At 35.3% G+C, this 26,345-nt stretch overlaps 1 protein-coding gene across 4 annotated transcripts in view; it reads right to left on the bottom strand.

Moving 5' to 3' along the window:
* Positions 1-26,345, bottom strand: part of PDHX (pyruvate dehydrogenase complex component X) — an 80,209-nt gene that overhangs the window by 24,264 nt on the left and 29,600 nt on the right. For 3 of the 4 annotated variants that reach the window (XM_011520390.2, NM_001135024.2, NM_003477.3), the window contains exons 3-7: positions 24,259-24,359; positions 14,282-14,481; positions 11,347-11,445; positions 5,051-5,225; positions 1,579-1,726 (exon numbers count right to left, since the gene is read on the bottom strand). In XM_011520390.2, the coding sequence (XP_011518692.1) occupies positions 1,579-1,726; positions 5,051-5,225; positions 11,347-11,445; positions 14,282-14,481; positions 24,259-24,359 (723 nt within the window). The remainder of the gene's footprint in view (positions 1-1,578; positions 1,727-5,050; positions 5,226-11,346; positions 11,446-14,281; positions 14,482-24,258; positions 24,360-26,345) is intronic. The other variant, NM_001166158.2, reaches the window with a different exon arrangement.

Below are 26,345 nucleotides of genomic sequence, written 5' to 3'. Positions count from 1 at the left end.
TAAACAATTAAAAAAGAAATAATACCAATTGTATCCAAACTCTTCCAGAAAATAAAGGAGGAGGACATGTTTTCCAACCCATTCCACTAGATAAGATAACAAATCTGAAAAAATGTCTCCAGAAAAGAAAACTACAGGTTAGCATTTCTCATGGGCATAGGTGTAAAGATTCTAAACAAAATTTTAGGATACAGAATCAAACAATATATGAGAAGGTTAATCATTAAGTGGATTTTATATGAGGAATACAAAGTTGATTCAACATTTGAAAATCAACCAATGTAATTCACCTTATTAACAGACAGAAAAAGGAAAAGTTATCTGAAAAGATGCACAAAAAGTATTTGAGAAAATTCAACATCTATTCATGTTTAAAACTCTCTGCAAGTTAGGAATGGAAATTCTTTCAACCTGAAAATAATATTCTACAAAAAACCTATAGCTAACATAAAAGACTGAATGCTTTTCCCCCAAAATCAAGAACAAGGCAAAAATATCTGCTTTTACCATCTATATTCATTATACCAGACAGAGGTCCTAGTCAGTGCAATAAGACAAGAAAATAATATAAAGGCCATATAGGTCAAAAATAAAGAAATAAAACTATCAGTTCATGCTAAAAAATCTGTATGTCTCTCAGCAACCTTATTTATAATTGATTTTTGGAAGAAATATTACAAATTTAATAATCTGTAAATGCATTCTGAACAAGAAATATAAAATCAAAATTTGTATAAAGAAGAATATATAAGATATTTATAATCTAAAACATCCTTAAAAGTTTTGGATTTTAAACTTAATGAAATATTGACTGCTTTGTTTAAATACCATACCAAAAAATATTCAAAACAAAAAATAACCATTTGGTCTACACAACTCATTCATGTGTTCTTACAAAAAAATTGACCTATGTAAATGCTAAAGCACACCAAAACATTAAGCCCACTTTTGCTTTTAAAAAAACTAACCAACCAAATTATAGTACTTCAGATTTCAGTATCCCTTATCCAAAATACTTGGAACCAGAAGTGTTTCAGATTTCAAAATTTATTCAGATTTTGTAATATTACATTTACTGTTTTGGCATCTCTAGTCCAAAAATCCAAAATCTGAAAAGCTCCAATGAGGACTTCCTTTGAGCTTCATGTTGGCACTCAAAAAGTTTCACATCTTGAAGCACTTTGAAGTTTTGGTTTTGGGTTGCTCAACCTGTATTTTTAAAGCTCAGTATGTAACAGAGAATTGAACTCAGTAATTGCCTGCTAAATAAATGTTAACTAACTGTACATTATTCAAATATGACAAAGAGGAAATAAAAGCAAGGTAGAACAGAATGCTTTTTTCTGCATAAAGGCATCTGTGATTTATTTAATACTGTGGAACCAATTCACTTTTTCAAGGAAACCATTGCTAATTTTTTTCCTCTAGCACAAATATACCCAGAGTAGAGTGCAAGTACATTATGAAATTGAAATTAAAAGCTACACAATGTAGCTTTTAATTTTATAATTTTATAAAGGATTTCATGAAAGTTAAGTTAGCATGTGTTTTGTATTAAGTAAATTCAATTTTACTAACCTTTGACCAGATCTTGCCTAACTTTTAAAACAGCTCCAAGGTCACAGTCAGCAGTAGCATATGCATGAGGTACAGTACTTTTAGATTCAGTTAATCTCTTGGCAATAACTCTTCGAATATTGCTGGCGGGGATTTCAGTGAATGTGCCCTGCAAAAAGACAGCAACCTGTCCGTTAAACCACAAGTGGAATAGAAAAATAAAACAAAAAACAAGCAACTTTATAAATGAAAAGAAATTCATTCTCAATGACCTAACTTATTAATTAAAGATTAACACAAGAAAAGCACTATTAAAATTCTTAGTATAAGGGAAGAATATAAAAAATCTGAGACGCTTTGGTTTTATAGCATATAACTACAGAAAAAAGTAATAAAATTCATGTTTCAATTGTGAATGGGATATCTTATGTTACTATATTTAAGATGATAAGAAAGAAACCTACCAAATAATGAACAATTCCTTCACAGGTGTGTTTGTGTGTGTATATATACGTACACACACACATACCACACACACACAAGGAGCAATATATGTGTGTGTACATACATACACAGAGAGAGAGAGGAGAGAGAAGACAGACATAGACATACACCATCTGTAAGCAGCTTTTGTTACAAATATCACTTAATAAAACTGAAATGGGCTGGGCACGGTGGCTCACACCTGTAATCTCAGGATTACTTTGGGAGGCTGAGGCAGGTGGATCATGAGGTCAAGAGTTCAAGACCAGCTTGGCCAACATGGTGAAACCCCATCTCTACTAAGAATACAAAAATTAGCTGAGTGTGGTGGCGCGTGCCTGTAATCCCAGCTACTCAGGAGGCTGAGGCAGCAGAATCACTTGAACCGGGGAGACAGAGGTTGCACTGAGCCAAGATCGCGCCACTGCACTCCAGCCTGGGCGACAGAGCAAGATTGTTTCGGGAAAAAAAAAAAAAAGAAAAAAAACCACCTGAAATAAAACAGCCAATAAATCAACAAACCAACTATTAATATATAGTTGCCCTTTGACTTATGATGAAGTGACACTCTGATGAACCCATCGTAAGTTTAAAATATCATAAGTCAAAGTGCATTTAATACACCTAACATACTGAACATCACAGGTAAGCCTTAGCATAGCCTACCATAAATGTGCTCAAAACATTTACATTAGCCTATAGTTGGGCAAAATCACCTGGCTACACAGTACACTGCAGAGCAGTGGTTGTTTGCCCTGATGATCACATGGCTAACTTGGAGCTGTGGCTAGCCGCTACTGCCCAGCATTGCAAGGAAATACTGCACTGCTTTCTACTGAATGTGTATCACTTTTACACCATCGTGAAGTCAAAAAATTATAAGTCGAACCATCTTTTCAAGTACACATGGAACATCCACCAAGACAGGCCATGTTATAAATATAAAATAAATCTCAATAAATTTGAGAAGATTGTTTTAAAATGAAGTGTGTCTCAAAGTGTATTCTCTAAACACAGTGGAGTTAAACTAGAAATCATGAAAGGTAACTGAAGGGTCTTCCAATATTTTGAAATTAAATTCACACTTATAAACAACTCATGGATCAAAGAAATCACAAGGGACATTAGAAGATTAGGGACCTTCTATACAGGCAATTCAATTATTTCTATTTGGATTTGTAATTTTTAAAAATAACATGAGTATCTTATTTCTTACAGATTCATAATAGAAAGTATGAATGAGATAATAAAATATTCCTATAACTTCACTGTAGTTTTTCCATTCTGTTCCTTGGATCTCTCAAAAAAGCATGACAGATTTTAAATTATATCTAATTCCTTTCTTGTCCTTCACTCTATTTTGGGATTTCATTACAATCACTTCAAGATAATACAAAGCAAATGAAAGTGCGGCTGATTTCATTTTTACAAATATCATTAAGAAATTAAACATTTTATGTTAGCAAAGTACTTGGTCAAGTAGAATAAATGCTCTCTACATACCATAAGAATTTGAAAGTAAGGTTTACCTCCTTAATTTGAATAACTTTTTTTTTTTTTTTTTGAGATAGGGTCTTCCTCTATTACCCAGGCTGGAGTGCACATAGCTCACTACAGCCTCAACCTCCCAGTCTCAAGTGATTCCCCAATCTCCACCGCCTGAGTAGTTGGACTACAGGCACACACTACCACATCCAGCTGATTTTAAAATTTTTTTGTAGAGATGAGGTCTCACTATGTTGCCCAGGCTGGTCTTTGAATGCCTAGGTGCAGGCAATCCTCCCACCTCAGCCTCCCAAAGTGCTAGGATTACAGGTGTAAGCCACCACACCCAGCCTTGAATAACCTACTTTTAAAAGACATATGATTGAATTATACATATTTCATAGTCCATATACATTATATAGTCAAAGAGTGGACTATACACTCAATATACATAGTATCTTATCCAACTGCATGTCCTTAAAGAGCAGGTTATTCAAGTATGCAGTATATTAATCATTAATGGATATTTAAAAATCTGTTTCCCATGAAAGTTGTACTGTTTTCAACTCTTTTAAAATATCATATGGTATATAGTTCTCCACTAGGAGTACACATTTATCTATTTATTTTTTTAAGTGCCCATTCGATTTTAAATAAACTGGGCTATCCTACATTTCTTCTGATAGGAAGAAAATAACCTGAATAGGAAAGGCACAGAGAGGCAAAATGGAGTAATTTGAAAACAAAAAGGGGCTGTTATACTGCATGCATCTGAGAAGGAAAGAATGACTAGCTACATAGTTCTTCATAGTGAGATTATCAATTCCCTAGTTAAAAAGTAGAACATATCCACAAAAGGGAGCTAGTGTCAGCTACTAATTATTAGTATCACACTTAAGACATGAAACATGAGATTGTAGAGAATATATATGTTACTGAAGTTGTGGAACTTGTGGTAACTTTAAATTGAATTATAGTTCTAATGTTTATTTGGAAGTTAACACACAAACAAATTTTGGTTTCTGATAGGAAATCTGTAAAACAAAGCATTTGGAGTGTTTTATCCTTATCACTTAGCTACTATTGAAACGGATTAATAAAACTAATCTGTTTTAAATCTACTCTTAAAACACATAGTAATTGTTCTTATTTTCTCTCTCACACTTGAATCTGAAAAATAAAAATCTAGGCCAGGTGCGGTGATTCACACCTGTAATCCCAGCACTTTGGGAGGCCAAGGCGGGTGGATCACCTGAAGTCAGGAGTTTGAGACCAGCCTAGCCAACATGGTGAAACCCCGTCTCTACTAAAAATACAAAAATTAGGTGGGTGTGGTGGTGCGTGCCTATAATCCCAGCTACTCAGGAAGCTAAGGCAGGAGAATCACTTGAACTTGGGAGGCAGAGGCTGCAGTGAGCCAAGATTGTGCCATTGCACTCCAGCCTGGGTGACAGTGCAAGACTCTGTCTCAAAAAAAAAAAGAAAAACAAGAAAAAGAAATAAAAATCCACTTAGAGAACACTACCACTGCATTGGGTTGTCCAGGAGTTGATACTGGTGGGATCACAGGCCGGGGATAAGATGGTCCAGCTGTGGCCTGTAGGGGCGAAGGTGCTGTGGGAGTGGCTGTGGGGGCTGGAGTTGGTCTGGACTCGGTAATCTTGCCCGTTTGTTTCAACTGGACAAGTTTGAGAGCATCCCTGGAAATAAGAGCAAAGTAGATAACCATAATTAGCAATAAGGAATATAACAGAACTTTCAGAAAACGCAGGTGAGATGTGGAGAAAAGATACAGAAATATACAGATGTCAAGGTTATAATTAAAAACCAGTAATTTGAGCTAGAAAATTAAATCCTGTCTCTTACCTGGTCTGCTGACCATTATTTGTCACGTTCTAATATTTGCATATTTTCAAAAGCCAAACAATTAAAATGTTATTAAAATTGGGCATAAGTAGTGATTTTTAAAAAGGAAATTAGTCTTTTTTTCTGTGCAGTGGACGTTATTTGGTAGATGAACAATTAATTAAACCACTCTCATCCTTTATACTCATGAAATAATATTCACATGGCATTCAAAAAGTGTCAAGTTTATTGTAAATATGGCTTTCACCAGGATACTTCCTACATCATTGTTCACTTATTGTTTATTCATTGTTTATTATAGTGCAAATCAGCTTATTTATGACCAGGAAATCAAACCATTTTTAATTTTGCTAATATGCCATCAGTACAATCTAATATAACAAATCTAACCTATGATATCTTTTAGAATGAAAAATAACTAGTTACAGACTTGCCTTTGTATTACTCTGTAAAACAAAGGTATTTTTGTCTTGTAAGAGGATATAATTAGATTACTAAATATGCTAAGCCCTCAACTCACTATGCTAAGTTACAGTGGTATTAGGCAATATATTTTCTTAAAATAATTTTTGGAACATTTTAATATCCAATAAGTATTTTGGAAAGTATTTTTTCCAATTTAAGAAAAAAAATTGTTTTATATAATCTAAAAAGAACTTCAGGATGACACAAAATCTAAGGAAAAATTATTTCTCAGTTAATATTTTGGTATTATTTTTCCAAAAATTTGATGAAAGATAAAAGCTAGCACCTGTTGAGCATATTTGAGAAGACCCCTTTACTTATGGCAACATGGTAGGAAGAATTCTGAGATGGCCCCAATATTCCTGCCCCTGGTGTACATGCCCCATATCATCCCTCTTGACTGTATCTGGCCTGTGAATATGATGGATGTCACTCCCATTATTAGGTCCTATTATGTGACAAAATTGGTGGCATTTTATAGATATATGAGGCTCCAAATCAGTTGCATTTGAGTTAACCAAAAGGCAAACTACCCTGGAGAGGGCAGATATATCAGGTAATCTCTTAAAAGAAATTAGGCCTTCCTGGAAGAAGAGACTTGAAGTAAAGAGATAAAACTGCTGGCCCGGGAGAAGCAAACATGCATGTTGTGAACCGCCTATGGAGACCACGCATGGCAAGGCCCTGCACGTGGCCTCTGGGAGCTGTCAGTGGTTCTTGGCTGAGAGCTAGAAAGAAAACAAGGGCCACAGTCCTACAGTCCCAAGGAACTGCATTCTGTCAACAACCACATGAGCTTGGAAGAGGACCCCAAGCTTCACATGAGTCCCCAGCCTTGGCCAACACTTTGATTTCAGCCTTGTGAGACCATGAGTTCAGAACCTGGCCATGCTATGCCAGGACTTCTAACCTATTGAACTGTTAGAAAACAAACAGGTATTATTTTAAGCTGGTAAGTTTACTGTAACTTGTTATGCAATAATAGAATATCAACACAAGCAGGAACAGTCTAACTGGGGTGCAAAAATCTGTATCGTTAATGCCCGAATACATCTATTTAAAAAAAAGGTTGCTGACACTAAATTGACACATTTTTAGCATAACTATTACTTATTAGCATATTTAGTAATATGTAATATTTAGTTATGCTAATAATATGCTAATAGCTAGCTAATATTAGTTATGCTAATAGCTAATATTAGTTATGCTAATAGCTAATATTAGTTATGCTAATATTACATATTTAGCATAACTATTACTGCTACTTTATTTTTTAAAAAGCAGTTTAGTTTTATCTCTGTAGTAATTAAGGTTCTTGGGTAGGTTAATCATAAAGAAGCAAGAACAAAATTGCTTCTTCTTGCTCACAAAAACTTGTATTGCTGATTTTATTTTTTTTTTATTTTTTAAAGAGTCTCACTCTGTCACCCAGGCTGGAGTGCAGTGGCGCGATCTCAGCTCACTGCAACCACCGCCTCCAGGGTTCAAGAGATTCTCATGCCTCAGCCTCTTTAGTAGCTGAGATTACAGGTGTGCATCACCACGCCTGGCTAATTTTTATATTTTTAGTAGAGATGGGGTTTTACCATGTTGGCCAGACTGGTCTCAAACTCCTGGCCTCAAGTGATTCGCCAGCCTTGGTCTCCCAAAGCACTGGGATTACAGGTGTGAGTCACTGCACCTGGTCTTTTTATTGCTGATTTTATACTTACATACCTATGAAGTATAAATCTTAATTATTGTTTAGTAACAGCCAATGATTTAGTTTTTTGTGAGGCAGAAAATGGTTTTAATGATTTCTGCACATTAAATAATCAGACTAAACTTGGAGCATTAGGTAGACATTAAAAGCTATAAAAATTAGGAGAAAAATATACCACACAAATTCATTCTGGCCACTGGCAGAAATAGGCAGATAGGCAGAGGATGCTCTGGAAGTTAACTCAGGTACAACCTTCTCTACTGGGTTCCCTGAGAGAGCAATTCATTTGGGTGTGACATGAATTCATTTTGAAAATACCACTAAAACACACTAGGCACTTGCCTGTCATACTTACCTAATTTTTGATGCTGTGTGATGAATACAAACATTACTACAACTATGATTTAGGACACAGATGTACCAAAGACATTGGGGCTGCAGGCAAAGAAACTAAATGTGTTCTGCTTCTAATTGTGGCCTCGACACTGCTTTCTTAAAACAGTCACATGTACAAGCAAAGTCAAGTCTATATTCTTTGGTACAACATGTATTCTGAGCAATGCTTGTTTTAAGGCAAAATTAAAATAGCAGCCCTGATACCCAAGATTTTCTTCACAAATACAGTGGGCTGGAGGCATTTCCTTCAGCATTTGGAACTGATTTTTCTACCCAGACTTTTAGTGGACATGGTATGGAGCATGTCCTCACCGTGTCAAGAACGTGTGTTGGCTGGGCACAGTGGCTCACGTCTGCATTCCCAGCACTTCGAGAGGCTGAGGTGGGAGGGTCACCTGAGGCCAAGAGCTTGAGACCAGCCTGGGCAACCTAGTGAGAAACCGTCTCTACAAAACTGTTTTAAAAATTTAGCCAGGCATGGTGGCACACCTGTAGTCCCAACTATTTGGGAGGTTGAGGTGATAGGACCACTTCAGCCTAGGAGTTCAAAGCTGCAGTGAGCTATGAATACACCACAGCACCCCAACCTGGGTGACAGAGTGAGAGCCTGTCTCTCTCTTAAAGAAAAAAAAATTCAAAACGTTAAAAAATAAAAAAGTGTGCTAAGATATTTTGGGGACAGCTATGCCAAAGCCTGCAATTTTTCAACCATAGCAGAAGACGACATTAGGCTAAAATTTTTTCCAAAGCTCACCTTAATGATAAACTTAAAATGCAGGCATTTTTAGCAGTATAGAAAAGCAAAAATCCTCAATAATATATGCTTTCAGGATCCATTTTTCTCATGAAATCTTTTGTACTAGTTCTTATTTTGAAGACCAAAGGCTGATGCCTTTCTCGTGGAGAGTTAAGGAATAAAGGCAGGGAAGAGAAAAGGGTAACAGGGTAGAAAAGATGGCAATAATACTAAAAGCCTAACTCTTTAATACTGCTTCCTTATGGTATTCAGGAGATAATACCATTTTGTTCTTAAGAAATGTTTCATTAATATTATAACTTTCAACTCAGGTTTAAAAAAAGATATTTGCGCATCATATATGTATTAAGCACACATGGAAAGAAAAGGAAGGAAGAAACCTTTATTTCTTTATTTTACTGCTGTCACACTACTGAACACCATATTACCAAATTTAAGAGGCTTTTCTTAGATCCTACCATCCTTGACTTTTCCCACATTTCCCAGGTATCCTCCAACTCAAGGATTTTAACCTCTAGTTTCCCTATTGATGATCTCAATTATAACTATTGCTTTATTATCTACCAAATCTACCTCTCTAATCCCCAACTATCTCCTGAGATACATCTTCATCTCATTGATCCCAATACCTACATGGCTTCTAAGTCCTGACAATAAGCTTCAAACATTACTAACTCCACCAAAACAAATGCTTCCCAAATCCATTATTTCTATTTATGGAGACCAAACTATCATCACCTAGACCAGATCCAAATTCATTCCCTTACTTGTTGCTACTCTGGCCTACACTCCACATTTAATCTGCAAAGGCTTCTGGACTTTATCCTTACAATGTTGTCTGTATCAGGGATCTCCCTTTTAGTTCTTCTAACCACATTCAAGTATTCATTACCTCTTACATGGATTACTTTAGGAGCCTATTAATTTATCTCCTTATCTCATCTTTTTCTGCTCCAGTTTATCTTACACAAATTTGCAGAACTGATCCCCCTAAGGTGCAGCAATCATTATTTTACATTTCACCAAATCCTCAAAGATTAATGAATTAAATACAGACTCTTATTCCTAATCCTCAGAATTATGAGCAAGGCAAATCTACTTTGTTATAAAAATAGTTGCTTTCTCCCATTTTTACAGAGAGTGCTACTAAGGCACAGACTGGTAGAGACTAACAAGATTAAGATACCAACAGTAGACACAAATCAGGATTGGTGTGGGGAAAAAACTGGGATTAACTGGCAACCAAGGTTCTTAATTTTAATTTTTTACAGCTAAGTGTAACTTTTAAATCCTTTAACTAAAAATCCCATGGTCTGGGATGTTGCCTTTCAGTCAGCTCTCAGGACAGCTGATTTCCAACTCATGCAGTGTGGCACGAACTTCACAGTATGTGTGTGATAGAACCACATACATTCAGTTAACAAATTAGTAAGAGTGTAATACACATAAATGAGGATATCTAAGAATTAAATCTATATACTGCTTTCAATAAAATAAACACCCAACAGTAAGCCAAAGCTTTCATGAAGAGTAAAATAACCCAGTGGAAAAAAGAAAACATTGCCTGGCCCAACACTGCCACTTATAATTTAACAACCATTGCTCTCTCTCGACTTACAAAAATTCTGGCCAATATTATTTTTTATTTCCTATCAATATTAGATAAATATGGAATGAGTACATTGCTTTAAAACATAAACTCAATTTGAAACATTTACTATTACTGCCAATAAAAATGTAGCACATAACACTACTGAAATCTTACATTAGTTCATAAGCCTATTTGATTAATCTTTGTCTACCCTACTAGACTAAGTTTCAACAGAACAGGGGCCATCTGTTTTGAAAGACACAAACATTTAAACTAATGGAAAGACACAAACATTTAAACCAGTGTTGCAGAACAGAAAGACCCATCATGATAAAGATGTCAGTTCTCACAAAGTTAATTTAAAATGTGATACAATCCCATAAAAATACCCCTCACTCCTACCCATGGAGCTAGACGAACTGCTTAAAATTCATTTGGAAGAATAATAAAATAAGAATGAACTAAGAAAACTGATTTAAAAAAAGAGCAAAGCTATTGTTATCAGATTTTAAAGCATACAATAAAACATTTCTAATTAAAAGTGTGGTACTAAAAAAGTATGGTACTAACTCATGGACAGATGGATCAGTGAAATAGAAAAGAAAATCTAAAAAGAGACCAAACTGTATATGGAAATTGCTTTATAACAGCACAAGTGAATAAAATTCAAAGGGATAATGAAAATAATTTTTTAAAAATATATTTCCTTGTTTTAGAAATGTAAATGTTATTGCATGATTTCACATATTTAATACTGTATAAAGTTTCACTGTTCTACGCTCTAATTTTCTGCATTTATTACCACTTCTAAGGATCTTGCTTAGTTACCAAATTAGAGCTGTTCTTCAGTAATGCTATAATTATTCAGAAAACAACTCTTGCATAGAATACAATTTACAATGATAAAAGCAATTAAAAGTACAAAAGAAGAACAGTGTACCTCCTTTTAAATCTTAAGACTGAATAAGCTCTTTTTATTTTCTTTCAAAAAAACATGATCATAATAAATAATGGAACTGGTTATTACAAAAAGCAAACACATACTCTTTAGTGAATATCCCCCGAGGGCCAGTGGCTGTGCCCTGGCTAGCATCCAGTGAGTGTTTTTCCAGAATATTGCGGGCAGCTGGACTTAAACGGAACCTAAGAAAAAAATATGAAGGTTAATAGAACCAATTAACACTTACATTTGATTCAAATAGATCTAAATGTCAACAGTTTCGCAAATAATTAAAAAAAAATCTTATAATAAAGCTAAAATGACTCCCACAGATGGTCACAGTCAAATAATCTGTACCAATTTGGTTTATTTTATTCTTTAAACACTTTCGTAAAAATTTAGTTACTATTTCTAAATATGATTTTAATAAGAATAAATATTAATTAGGGGAAAGAGCTGCTATTTCAACTAATTACTTTCACATGGGTGCTCATCACAACTACCAATTGTTTCCTTCGTATATTTTGTTCTATCATTTCTTCATATATTTTGTATTGTGGCAAATGATACCTAAAATTTATCATTTTAAGCATTTTTAGGTGTACAACTGAGTGGCATTTAGTACAATCACACTATTGTGCAACCATCACCACCATCTATCTCCAGAAATGTTCATCTTTCCAAATTGAAACTCTGTATCTATTAAACAGTAACTCTCCATTCCTCCTTCCTCCCAACCCCTGGTAACCATTCTCTTTGTCTCTGTCAATTTGACTACTCTAGGTAACTCACATAAGTAGAATCATACAGTTATTTGTTTTGTGACTGGCTTATTTTACTGAGCATAATATTCTCAAGGTTTATCCATGCAGCATTTATCAGAATTTCCTTCCTAAAAAGCTGAATCACATTTCATAGCATTTTGGACTTATGAGTTGTTTCTACCATTTTGCTACTGTGAATAATGTTGCTATGAACATAGATGTACAAATATCTCTTTCCAGTCTTTGCTTTCAGTTATTTTGCATATATATCTGGAAGTGGACCTACTAGATGATATGGTAATTTTAATTTTCTAAGAAACTGCCATACTGTTTTCCACAGTAGCTGCAGCATTTTACACTTCCACTAGGCAACAACAAGGGTTCCAAATTATCCATGTCCTTGCCAACACTTGTTATAATCTGGGTCTGGTTTGGTTTTTGTTTGTTTGTTTGTTTTGATACTAGCCATCCTGAAGGGTATGAAGGGGTGTCTCATTGTGGTTTTGATTTTCATTTCCCTAATGGTTAGTGACGGTGAACATATTTTTCATGTGCCTGCTGGCCATCTATGTATCTTCTTGGGAGAAATGCTATTAAAGTTCTTCACCTGTTTTTTAATTGGGTTGTTTTGCTGAGGTTGAATTGTATGTATACACAATTATATATATTTATTATATATATAGGATACCTCAGATTACATGACTAATGGTATATCTCTTGTATGCAAAGTAGTAAACAAATTACTACATGGTCAGATAAAGAAAATAAGCCTGATTAGTACAGATTAAAACAGGCTGGATCTAGAAATTAAAGCTAAGAGACAGAAACAACTGTGGAACTTGCTGCATTTCAGGGAAGTATTAAATAACTCTGATATGGGCCCAATGTTACTAAATCTTTAGATTTTTCAAGAGAATCTGAAATTTTAGATTTTTATATAGGATTAGTAACCAACCAACCAAAAAAAAATTTTTTTTTCATTCACTGTGTGCCCAACAGTATGCAGAGTTCACAGGTCAGTAGGTTTTTAACCTACACAGTGGGGCCTGATTCATGCGAGTCTCTGATGATGACTGATCTTAATTAGGGTACATACTATTATTATCTTTGCAAGGGCAGAAGACCATTAGTTAGAAAGCATCAGTGAGACTGTCTTCCAATTTTTAGGGTAAATGAAAGAGGAGACAGTAAATGGGAGTCAAGGCAACAGAGTCAGAAACACTGCACTAGGAATTTAAAATCAGTACTTCAAAAAGCAGGCCAGGCGCAGTGGCTCACGCCTGTAATCCCAGCACTTTGGGAGGCCGAGGCAGGCGGATCATGAAGTCAGGAGTTCGAGACCAGCCTGGCCAACATGGAGAAACTCCATCTCTACCAAAAATACAAAAAAATTAGCCAGGCATGGTGGCACATGCCTGTAATTCCAGCTACTCAGGAGGCTGAGGCAGGAGAATCGCTTGAACCCAGAAGACCGAGGTTGCGGTAAGCTGAGATTGCACCATTGCACTCCAGCCTGGACAATGAGATCAAAACTCCGTCACCCACCTCCGCACGCCCCCCCCTAAAAAAAGCACTGTGGATTCTTTTCTGACAATGATAAACTAAAGGAAAAAATGTTTAAGAATGAAGAGGTCTACTTTATGAAGATCTTTTTCTCGTAAAGAAAAAGTAATGTTGTATAATTATATAGAATACTAAATAAATGAAATGTTAGAATTTACAGAGTTCTTCTATTAAAGCAATGTAAAACTAAAGTGAAATGATGTGTATTAAGTTATCTGTTTTGTTACAGAACAGACAAAATTGAGCTCTAGTCTGTGCCGGAAAGTCATAATGCAGACTAGTTTGAAAACGAATGCATGTTAAAACATGAATTCTATTTTATATCAGATAGACATTTGAGCTTGGAATTCCTGTAACAGTAATTAGAACTCCATAAATGGGAACAGAGTATCAAGTTTGGTATATTGAATACCATTTTAGACTTCTAAAACCTAATTCAACCTCAACATGGACACATACTGTTTGGTTTTCCATTGTGCAAGCAGGGCTTTTAGAGTACCTGGAACATAGCAGATATTCAGTAACTATTTATTTACTGAATGAACAATGATGGTTAAAAAAAAAAACACACACTCTAAGGTCTGAGTGTGCTGAGAACAGCAACTTCCTACGTGATGTACAACGATGTGCGAATATGATAATGATTACAATTCCATAAGAACTGCCATAACTTTTTTTTTTTACATCATCCTTTGAATAAATATATACTCACCGTAGTGTCCCGGGTATGTGTTCCTTCTTGACAGGGATGGAAATCTGTGGTTCTGGTGAGGGGCGAGGCTCTGAAGGTTTTGAAACTGGTGGTGGAGGACCTACGTCTTTGGGAATTTCAACATGTTTCCAATCTTCTCCTTCTTCTACTATCAAACCAATTAGTGAACCTAGCCGTATATTTTTACTTCCTTCTTCAACCTATATTTAAAAAAGAAGTAACTGTAGAGAAGTAAAACCCCATGACTGCATTAAGTAGTTTGTTCTTTTGTTGGGTAATTCTCCCCTTAAGATATCTTAATTTGAGCTAAAAGCTGCTTCCAAGACAGTTTGCCTCTGCCTTCCACCTGTCACCTTCTCCACTTTCTCCCACTTATGCCTTCCTTCACCATTCTCCTCTTCCCACTTGCTAATGCTACCTTCTGAAATAAAGGATAAATCTAGAATGTATCCTCTTTCTGAGAGCCTTCAAATAAACATGTAAGATCCATCATTATCATCTTCTTTTTGATGTCAATACAAATCCAAACAGGAGCCTGTGGCTACATATCTTAACCATTTGTCTTTCCCAGAGAGTTTCTATGCAATGGCTTTAGAATTCTAAAAGCTCAGAAGGGATTAACTCCCTCAACTTAGTCCAATCTACTAAAATTTACCTAATGCAAGAATCTTTTCAGTAAACTTAGTCTGAAAAGATGAACATTCTAATGTATAGATAGAACTGGTTAACTATTCCAGTTAATGTTAAATATAGTCTACTTCTTTATATTTAATTATTTCCCTGTATATCTATTTACAAAACCTGAAAAATAAAATAAAACCTCATGAGTTTTTTTATAAGTATATCAGAAACACAGTGGTGTCTCAGTTAATAAAGCATTTCTTCCACAGATAATGCCAATTAAACACTTAAATAAAATCAAAGATAATGTTTTTAAAAGTTAAGTATATTTTAAGCATTTCAGCAGCATTAATTTATAAAGAAAGGGCTAATTCTAATTTACTTACTAAAAAGAAGTCCCTAGAAAACCTTCAAATAACAATATTTTATAAGTTCACTCCTGGAAGAAAATGTCATTCCCTTAAAATCTTCTATTATTCCCTTTCAATTACTCTAAATAAGGTTCATTAGCTGTATTTAATGAACAATAGAATGATAGGCTGCAGGACGTCCACTAATACAGTAATGGTAAGGAAAAGCATAACTTCTAGAATGAGTTTGACATATCAGAGTAACACTAATTTCAATGCTTACTGGTATGTTCACTATCGTTAATAAGGCATAAGTTATAAGGGGTTAGGAAGCTAAGTTTACTAATTACTGATGAAGAAGAAAAGCAGCAATGCTTTCATGAAGCAAAATACATATATATATATATGAAATTAGTATAGAAAGCTGAATAGGAATGTTTAATGAATTACAAGCTATGGAAGAATACTAAGAAAGCCAAGAAAAATCTAGTTGCTTAGTTGTTTGCCACATACTAAAAAATTTTGCTTCTGCAGAGTTCCTTTTTCTTTACTATGTCAAAAAGATGAGTTAAGATTATTATTAGACCAATATTTTTCTTCTAAAAGTGTTTAATTACCTGCTTGTGAATTGCTAACTCAAAAATCAAAGTAAAATGACTAATTTTCTTTAAAAATGTATACAAAAAAGCACTGTTAAGTGACATGAAGTCCACTTGATGTTAATTCCTTTCAAAACTGAATCAGAAATAGGATCAATATCCAAGTACAAAGAACATCATTCAAATGTAAAGCATTAAAAAAAGTTTTGCTTTAAAAATATCAATAGATTTCTAAAATCTGAGTCAGACAACTGTACTACATCTGAAAGTGGTACCTCACCTTCTGTTTCATTTACTGTAAATCATATAAATGATTCCATATATACTCTACCAACGTAACATTGACACCTTCACAAGTAGGCAATAAACAGCATTTATCATCATTTCAATTTTTACCATTATCTAAATATCAAATAAAATTTATTTTTAACTATTCACATTTTTTTCTATTTAAAAAAGTGACACCATGAAGCATGAAACCCAAATACAATGGACAAGGACAAGTGATATACAACCATACAACTTGAATATATAACAGAAGATAAAATACAGTTGATTATAATTCCATTTAAAGTCATTAAAATCTCTATATGAATTTAAGATAATTTCTTCAACCTTTTCTATTCCTTTGGTGCAGAGATCTTTCAGAGGTGTGCTAATTTCCTGTAAGCATTTGCTTACACTGTAGTAGGCAAATACTCAAAACTGGTGTAGACTTAGTATAAATACGTAAATAATACTCTTTGCAAAACTGTTTAAAAACCAAGCAGGCCTCTGTTACTGTTCCCTTTCCTCTCTGAGCTACCTCCATGGTAGCTCATGGTACCTCCATGGATACACTCTGCCCTACCAAAGCATCTGGAGCTAAGGACACCTCAAATGCCAGAGTTTTCTTATGCACTCAGCTTACTTGACCAAAGCCCTCTCTTACTCTTCTGCCAATGATTTCTTAATATTAAATGCAGGGTTTTTACACATAGCTCTATCAACTTAGAGCTCATCGATACTGAAATATTGAATGTTGAGTCTATCATTTCAAATATTAGCCTTCCCTCCCAGTTGTGTACAGACTTCCTGAGTTTCAACGCTGGCTCCACCACTTACTAGTTATGTGACCTTAGTAAAGTTTCCTTATCTCACCATGCTTGTTTTCTGAGCTGTAAGATGCAAATAACAGTAGCTACTTCACATTGTTGTTATGAGGAATAAATGAGTTATATGTAAGGCCCTTAGAATAGTGTCTGATAGCTAGTAACTTGTTTTCATTTTCATTGTTAAAGGCATTATTATTGCTGTTGTTATTGCTGTGGTGTTTTCCTTCAAATTATGGATTTTTTAAAACAATACATTCAACATGGATCAAGATTAGACTACAGGGGACTGACCCCTTGGTATGGGTTAGAAATTCATGCTTAAAGGCTTAGCATGTGGCTGGCAGCACTAAAGGGCAAACATCAACATATACGATAATGGGTAGTAAGGTCTGTGACAAACTATTTCTTCATAATTCTCAGACAGAGGCTGAATTCTATCCCTCAAGCCCAGGTCACTAGTGTGAGGCTTCTGTACCAGAGACATTCTCACATCTTAACCAATCAATCACCTGCAAATGTGCTACAAACAGCTCACCTAATCTCATCTGTGTACACAGGGATATGAGATGCAAAACATTTACAGCAGTATGTCCAACAGAGAAATTGAGAGGGCTCATTCCATTAAAGGCACAAGTAAATATTGTCTGTTTTAATTCTGATATTAAAATCAATATATTAAGTAATTATTTAAGTACTTTTATTCTTTAAAATAGAGCAGTTTGAAAGCTACCTAGTGACTACTGACAGAGCATGTGCAGCAGTGAGTGGAGATGACCTGAGTCACGTGACTGACTTATCTGGTTCATCACTATGATTTTCCATCATGGTGTGAATCATTATACAATTTTGAACTGTTTTGATTCTTCAATGTATACTGTTTATCTTATATGAACAATGAACTTTGGTTTATAAGGAAGTACATAAGAAATACTGAAAATGAGAACAAACCAATGATAAGCTAAAATACAGAGGGGAAGAAGAAACATTCATTAAGCCCTTGAATAACAGTTGTCTGGCTTTCAAGTGCCAAGCACTGTTCCAGCACAGCATTAACTCATTTAATCCTAACAACCTTCTGAGGTAAATACTATCATTATTCCCATTTATAGATGAGAAAATTAAGGCACGAAGAGGTTATGTAACTTGCTCAAGATCACAAGACAAGTATGTAGCAGAGGCAGGATTTAAATGTAGTCTAACATCAGAGATGGTATCCAATATAATCGCTACCAAATCAATAATTTATCAAATCTGTAAATTATATCCAACTGATCAAAATTATCATGCAGCACCTCAAGATGGTGTCTGTATTTTAAAAAAACAAGTTTAAAAGGTATAAAGTGGATGTAACAATTTAGCTTTTGATTCATGGGGAATATAAACTATCTTTCCTCACAATCTGTCATAACTATTTCAATATGAAAAAATTAGAGTTGATAGCAGTAGCATGCTGTTTTGGTTACTGTAGCCTTGTAGTATACTTTGAAGTCACGTAGCATGATGCCTCCAGCTTTGTTCTTTTGGCTTAGGATTGACTTGGCGATGCAGGCTCTTTTTTGGTTCCATATGAACTTTAAAGTAGTTTTTTCCAATTCTGTGAAGAAAGGCATTGGTAGCTTGATGGGGATGGCATTGAATCTATAAATTACCTTGGGCAGTATGGCCATTTTCACAATATTGATTCTTCCTACCCACGAGCATGGAATATTTTTCCATTTGTTTGTATCCTCTTTTATTTCATTGAGCAGTGGTTTGTAGTTCTACTTGAAGAGGTCCTTCACGTCCCTCGTAAGTTGGATTCCTAAGTATTTTATTCTCTTTGAAGCAATTGTGAATGGGAGTTCACTCATGATTTGGCTCTCTGTTTGTCTGTTATTGGTGTATAAGAATGCCTGTGATTTTTGTACATTGATTTTGTATCCTGAGACTTTGCTGAAGTTGCTTATTAGCTTAAGGAGATTTTGGGCTGAGACAATGGGGTTTTCTAGATATACAATCATGTCGGCTGCAAACAGGGACAATTTGACTTCCTCTTTTCCTAATTGAATACCCTTTATTTACTTCTCCTGCCTAATTGCCCTGGCCAGAACTTCCAACACTATGTTGAATAGGAGTGGTGAGAGAGGGCATCCCTGTCTTGTGCCCGTTTTCAAAGGGAATGCTTCCAGTTTTTGCCCATTCAGTATGATATTGGCTGTGGGTTTGTCATAGATAGCTCTTATTATTTTGAGATACATCCCATCAATACCTAATTTATTGAGAGTTTTTAGCATGAAGGGTTGTTGAATTTTGTCAAAGGCCTTTTCGGCATCTATTGAGATAATCATGTGGTTTTTGTCTTTGGTTCTGTGTATATGTTGGATTACATTTATTGATTTGCGTATCTTGAACCAGCCTTGCATCCCAGGGATGAAGCCCACTTGGTCATGGTGGATAAGCTTTTTGATGTGCTGCTGGATTCGGTTTGCCAGTATTTTATTGAGGATTTTTGCATCAATGTTCACCAAGGATACTGGTCTAAAATTCTCTTTTTTTGTTGTGTCTCTGCCCGGCTTTGGTATCAGGATGATGCTGGCCTCATAAAATGAGTTAGGGAGGATTCCCTCTTTTTCTATTGATTGGAATAGTTTCAGAAGGAATGGTACCAGTTCCTCCTTGTACCTCTGGTAGAATTTGGCTGTGAATCCATCTGGTCCTGGACTCTTTTTGGTTGGTAAGCTATTGATTATTGCTACAATTTCAGATACTGTTATTGGTCTATTCAGATTCAACTTCTTCCTGGTTTAGCCTTGGGAGAGTGTATGTGTCGAGGAATTTATCCATTTCTTCTAGATTTTCTAGTTTATTTGTGTAGAGGTGTTTGTAGTATTCTCTGATGGTAGTTTGACCCTCAGAAATAACGCCGCATATCTACAACTATTTGATCTTTGACAAACCTGAGAAAAACAAGCAATAGGGAAAGGATTCCCTATTTAATAAATGGTGCTAGGAAAACTGGCTAGCCATATGTAGAAAGCTGAAACTGGATCCCTTCCTTACACTGTATACAAAAATTAATTCAAGGTGGATTAAAGACTTAAACGTTAGACCTAAAACCATAAAAACCCTAGAAGAAAACCTAGGCATTACCATTCAGGACACAGGCATGGGCAAGGACTTCATGTCTAAAACACCAAAAGCAATGGCAACAAAAGCCAAAAATTGACAAATGGGATCTAATTAAACCAAAGAGCTTCTGCACAGCAAAAGAAACTACCATCAGAGTGAACAGGCAACCTATAAAATGGGAGAAAATTTCCGCAACGTACTCATCTGACAAAGGGCTAATATCCAGAATCTACAATGAACTCAAACAAATTTACAAGAAAAAAACAAACAACCCCATCAAAAAGTGGGCAAAGGGTATGAACAGACACTTCTCAAAAGAAGACATTTATGCAGCCAAAAGACACATGAAAAAATGCTCATCATCACTGGCCATCAGAGAAATGCAAATCAAAACCACAATGAGATACCATCTCACACCAGTTAGAATGGCGATCATTAAAAAGTCAGGAAACAGGCCGGGCGCGGTGGCTCACGCTTGTAATCCCAGCACTTTGGGAGGCCGAGGCGGGTGGATCATGAGGTCAGGAGATCGAGACCATCCTGGCTAACACGGTGAAACCCCGTCTCTACTAAAAAAATACAGAAAAATTAGCCGGGCGTGATGGCGGGCGCCTGTAGTCCCAGCTACTCGGGAGGCTGAGGCAGGAGAATGGCGTGAACCCGGGAGGCGGAGCTTGCAGTGAGCCGAGATTGCGCCACTGCACTCCCACCTGGGCCAAAGAGCAAGACTGCGTCTCAAAAAAAAAAAAAAAAAAAAAAAAAGTCAGGAAACAAAAGGTGCTGGAGAGGATGTGGAGAAATAGGAATACTTTTACACTGCTGGTGGGACTGTAAACTAGTTCAACCATTGTGGAAGTCAGTGTGGCGATTCCTCAGGGATCTAGAACTAGAAATACCATTTGACCCAGCCATCCCATTACTGGGTATATACCCAAAGGACTATAAATCATGCTGCTATAAAGACACATGCACATGTATGTTTACTGCGGCACTATTCACAATAGCAAAGACTTGGAACCAACCCAAATGTCCAACAATGATAGACTGGATTAAGAAAATGTGGCACATATACACCATGGAATACTATGCAGCCATAAAAAATGATGAGTTCATGTCCTTTGTAGGGACATGGATGAAACTGGAAATCATCATTCTCAGTAAACTATCACAAGGACAAAAAACCAAACACCGAATGTTCTCACTCGTAGATGGGAATTGAACAATGAGAACACATGGACACAGGAAAGGGAACATCACACTCTGGGGACTGTTGTGGGGTGGGGGGAAGGGGGAGGGATAGCATTAGGAGATATACCTAATGCTAAATGACGAGTTAATGGGTGCAGCACACCAGCATGGCACATGTATACATATGTAACTAACCTGCACATTGTGCACATGTACCATAAAACTTAAAGTATAATAATAATAATAATAATAAAATAAATAAATAAATAAACAAACATTAAAAAAAGAAAAAATTAGAGTTGAGAATATCTTCCATTTAATAGAACTGCTCTGAGCTCTGAGAGGCTATTTTCTCAATTAAAAATATCACGGTCTAGACAGAAGAATCATTTGAAGCCTCTACAACTTCAAATTTCAACCATAAACTTTCAAACCATTAAAAGGCAACTTTGAATGGGATTGTGGGCAACTTAATGAAAAAATAAGGGTGGGGAAGGGGTATCTAACGAATACAGTAATATTTAAAAATGTATTCTTTAGAAAAATACCAATGACAGTATTTGAGTGAGATAAAGTGAAGAAACCAACTGAAGAAGGTGAATAGTACCGAGAATAATTATTCTGCTATTTTTAGTATTCAGATGATCAATTAAAAAACCATTTTTTTAAAAAAAATTTGTTTTAATATCCATGGATGCTATTTTTTAGAAAAAATTCTACTTTTGAAAATTGTTTTGAATAATGGTCTATCAATAAAAATCTATCAATAAATATATTGCTAGTCAATAAATACATTGCAAACATTACATAAATGTAAATAATTTTGACATCTTATACCCTTTTCATCCTCACAAATATCCTAATTGGTGTGCCAAATTATATAGCAACCCCAAATACACTGGAAGCCAAATTAGAGAACCTCTAATAAACCCTCCAAATATGTCATCCTAAGATTCTACTTTATTAATTTATCATTTAAAACAGCTGCTGTTCAATTTGCTAAATACTAACTTTAAGAATAAGCTGATGAACTGATCTTTAAATGTATAATAACTGAAGTATTTTTGTATCAAAATTTACTAGTTTTGACAGGGCATGGTGGTTCACGCCTATAATCCTAGCACTTTGGGAGGCCAAGGTGGGCAGATTACTTGAGTCAGGAGTTCAAAACCAGCCTGACCAAATTGGAGAAACCCGTCTCTACTAAAAATACAAAATTAGCTGAGTGTGGTGGCACATGCCTGTAATCTCAGCTACTTGGGAGGCTGAGGCAGGAAAATCATTTCAACCCAGGAGGCGGAGGTTGTGATGAGCCAAGATCGTGTCCAGCCTGGGCAACAAGAGCAAAACTCCATCTCAAACAAAAACAAAAACAAAAACAAAAAACAGAAGAAAAAAAGATTTACTAGTTTGTCCCTGATAAAATTGCAACATCTTGTTGTGAAGAGACTCCCAAATATTATCCAAAAAGCATGTGGAATAATAATAAAGCCACAAAGGCCTAAAATATACAGTCTTTTCTTTGGCAAGAAAATAGCTGTGCCACCAAAGCCACTATCAACTATATGCACTCCCACTCCCAACCTTTTTCAGAGCATAGGGGCCAGATGAATTGGCACTGCTGACCCACTGACATGGTTAGCAATTTGAAATGTATTACTAAGCAGCTAAGTGGAAAAATGCTATCAATTCTGGAAGATTTCCACAGCCAAACAATCCAGAATTGGGGCCAAGAACACAGTTTGCCAAAAGCACACATAATAAAATGTAGCTGGGTTTATTACATGGTAATTCAAGCAATCTGTTTCAATATGCTGCATAAATTAGTCAAGAAAACTATTTTTGGTATGAATATTTATATTTTCCTAGTTACAAATGTACAGAAATTTTAGGCTTTGATTCATATTCCTACAAGGAAGTTAACTGTATTATCAACATGTTTCAACCTGGAATGTTATATCTAGTATCTAATATGAGAGATGACAAGTAAAGGAGTTTGACATATTCGAAGTTAAAAATACAACATAAGTGGCTAAAAAAAAAAAAAAAAGGAAAAGAGGATTTTCTAGAAAGAAAAACAAATAAAAAATTGTCTCTAGATTTGCACCTAGTTAGAGTATAGCATTCTGAAGTGTAGTCTTTGAATAGAATATACAAAGGAAGGTGTTACATCTATGCTCAAAGCAGAGGTAAGCTGGTGGCTCAGAAATAAAAACACATCCACAAGGGACTGCTAATAGACATGCAGCTCATCTGTACAAATTGAACTCCAGAGGCACAAATGGATACTTATTATCCAGTTGCAACCAACCAATACAAATTATTAGGCAAACATACAGACTGACTTGGGGACTAATGGTCACCAAGAGCTGAGGAAACAGTTCTAATAATGGGAAAAGTAACATTTATTGAGCAATTGGGTAACAGGTCTTGAGATGAGCATATATGTACTCTCTCAATCTTCCCTACTGTCCTATGAAGTAGGTATTATTATCATCTCTACTTTAACATGAAGAAAAAGGCACAGGGGATGAAGAATTTGCTTATCATTACGTAACTAATAACTGGCAGAACTTTTTAGATATAACATGAATCAGTCAGCGGGGTGATTCCAGAGTCCACAGTCTTAGATGCTCCACCATACTACCTAGTAAAGGTTCTGGAAGTTAAGAAACAAACACGCTGGTTGGCTCAATCAGGGAATATACCACACAATGCTAAATAGTCATGTTTCTACCATATGTAGCTCTACGCATTTTATTTCACTTACTTTTCACATAAGCTCTAATATTCCATTATAAAAATAACGCACATTACAGAAAATTTAGAAAATACAGAAAAATAGGCTATTAGACCTTAACTCTAAAACATTTTAAACACTTGAACTAAAAATGTATTATGTAGTAGACAATACACATTAAAAATAAGGAGGCAAAAATAAAAGGTAATTTTACTACAATGAACTTTCCACTCAAGAAATCTTCATCCTGTTGAAGAAAATTAAAATAAAAACTTACCACGATTTTGGCCAAGATTCCATCATCACTTGCATCTAAGGTAACCACAGCTTTGTCAGTCTCAATTTCACATAATGCATCTCCAGCACTCACCGCTTCACCTACAAAACAAGACTGGGTTTGTTTTGTTTTTTAAAATATAAATATTACTATGTATATATGTACGTATGAATAAAACATAAATAAATACCAAAATATTCCGTAGCTATTTCTGGGTTGTGGAAATACAAGTAATTCTCATTATGTGTGGGTGTTTGTGTGTGTGTGTGTATGTGTATGCTTTGCTGTAATTTCCAAAAGCTCTATAATGGACATAAATTATACTTGTGATAATAAAAAAGCTATTACAAAGATTACTGAGCATGTAAAAATGAAATCAACCTTAAAGACATCAGCAACAAATGTGTATCCACCTCTGAACAAATCAATTCCAGACTCCATATCCCCCTTACTTTTTCAAACATTTTGACTATATTCCCTGAAGAAAAGTTTTACAATTAACAGTACTTCTGGGTTCACATCTTAGGGCAAGTTCAAAAAACCTGTTGGCAGCACACAGTATAAATGAATAAAGCATATAAAGCATAAAAAGAGAAAATCAAAGACACAACTGAAGTCAAATACAGATCATTTCTCTGCAACAGAAAATATCTGGAAACTCAAAAATATGGAGGAAGACCTGAAGTTCCAGGCTTACTAGCTTCTGGATTTAGGAGCAGGTTTGGAGCAAACAGGGGAAAAGAGGTACAACAGTTTCCTTTGGGGATTAAAGGGAACTAAAAGTAGTCTGTTGGATATAGGGGACTCAAATCAGATTCACTATTTGGAGCTAGGGCTAAGTCAGGGTTCTTCTACTCATAATGTGAGGCTGATAAAATGCACAATCAAAACCTGTTGACTGAGACTATGATTTTAATCAGCAACCATGGGTCTAGGAAGGTGGGGACCAGAATACTGCCTCAGTACCAGGAACAAAGTCAAGCCACCCTCTGGCTCCGGGGCTGTATCTGCCAATATCCCCAATATCAATTGCAAAATTCCTTGGATGGTGGCAAGGATCGAGGGGGGACTGCGTAGGAGGGAAGACATTAAAACATAAACTTTCCACTTAAAAGTAAATTGCACAAGAAAGTTCTGAGACACACGAAGAAATCAAAAGCTAAGAAAGCAAGCCACAAAATCAGTAATTGTAACAAAAATTCTTTTCAGAAGCAATTTATTTAGTGCAATCTGTCAAAGATTGTAAAATAAGTACTTGAGGACATCCAAAAACATAAATGAAAGTAAAAGAGCCATCACAAGAACAAGAAATTAAAAAAAAATGGTATCAGGTAGAAATAAAAAAACGAATTAGAAATCTTAAAAATGAAAAATTAAGTAATTGAAATAAAAAGAAACAACAGAATATATTCTAGACAGGGAATAGTGAAGGTATGAATTAGTAAATTGAAAGGTAGCACTAATGAACTACGCAGAATTTCATACAGGCAGACAAAAAGATACAAACATTAAAAACAAAAAACAAAACAAAACGAAAAAACAGAAAAGAGCAGTTAAGTGACAAAGACTGAGGCTGCAATGTTTGCTAATGGAGTTCTGAGGGAAGACACTGGAGGCACTGGTGGAGAAGCAATACCTGAAGAATTAGTGGCTGAGAATTTCCCAGAACTGGAGATGTATACTCTCATCATCAAAGAGTTTTGAATGAATTTAGGATAGGTGTACTGACTAGCAGGGGGCATACGGATCTGTGTAGCTTGCTAAGAATGTTCTAAATCTTGATCTAGGTGGTGGTAACATGGGTATACATGTATACAAAATTTAATTGAGCCTAAAGTTTATGCAAGTTATACCTTGATAAAAACTTAAACAGAAAAAAGAGTATTAGACTATATAAACATGAATCCATATTAGATACAATGTAAAGAAACCGCATTCTATCAACGATAAAAACATAATCTTTTAAAAATCTATCAAAGGGGAAAAAAAACAGATTACCTCAATGGAAAGACTGAGAGTACACTTCTCAGCAGCTGCAACAGAGGTCAGAAAACAATGAAGTAATATCTTCAAAAAACTGAGGAAAA

This window comes from Homo sapiens, chromosome 11 (genome assembly GCF_000001405.40).
Source record: "Homo sapiens chromosome 11, GRCh38.p14 Primary Assembly".
In the NCBI taxonomy this organism is placed as follows: domain Eukaryota; kingdom Metazoa; phylum Chordata; class Mammalia; order Primates; family Hominidae; genus Homo; species Homo sapiens.
This window is presented reverse-complemented; position numbering and strand designations above follow the sequence as displayed.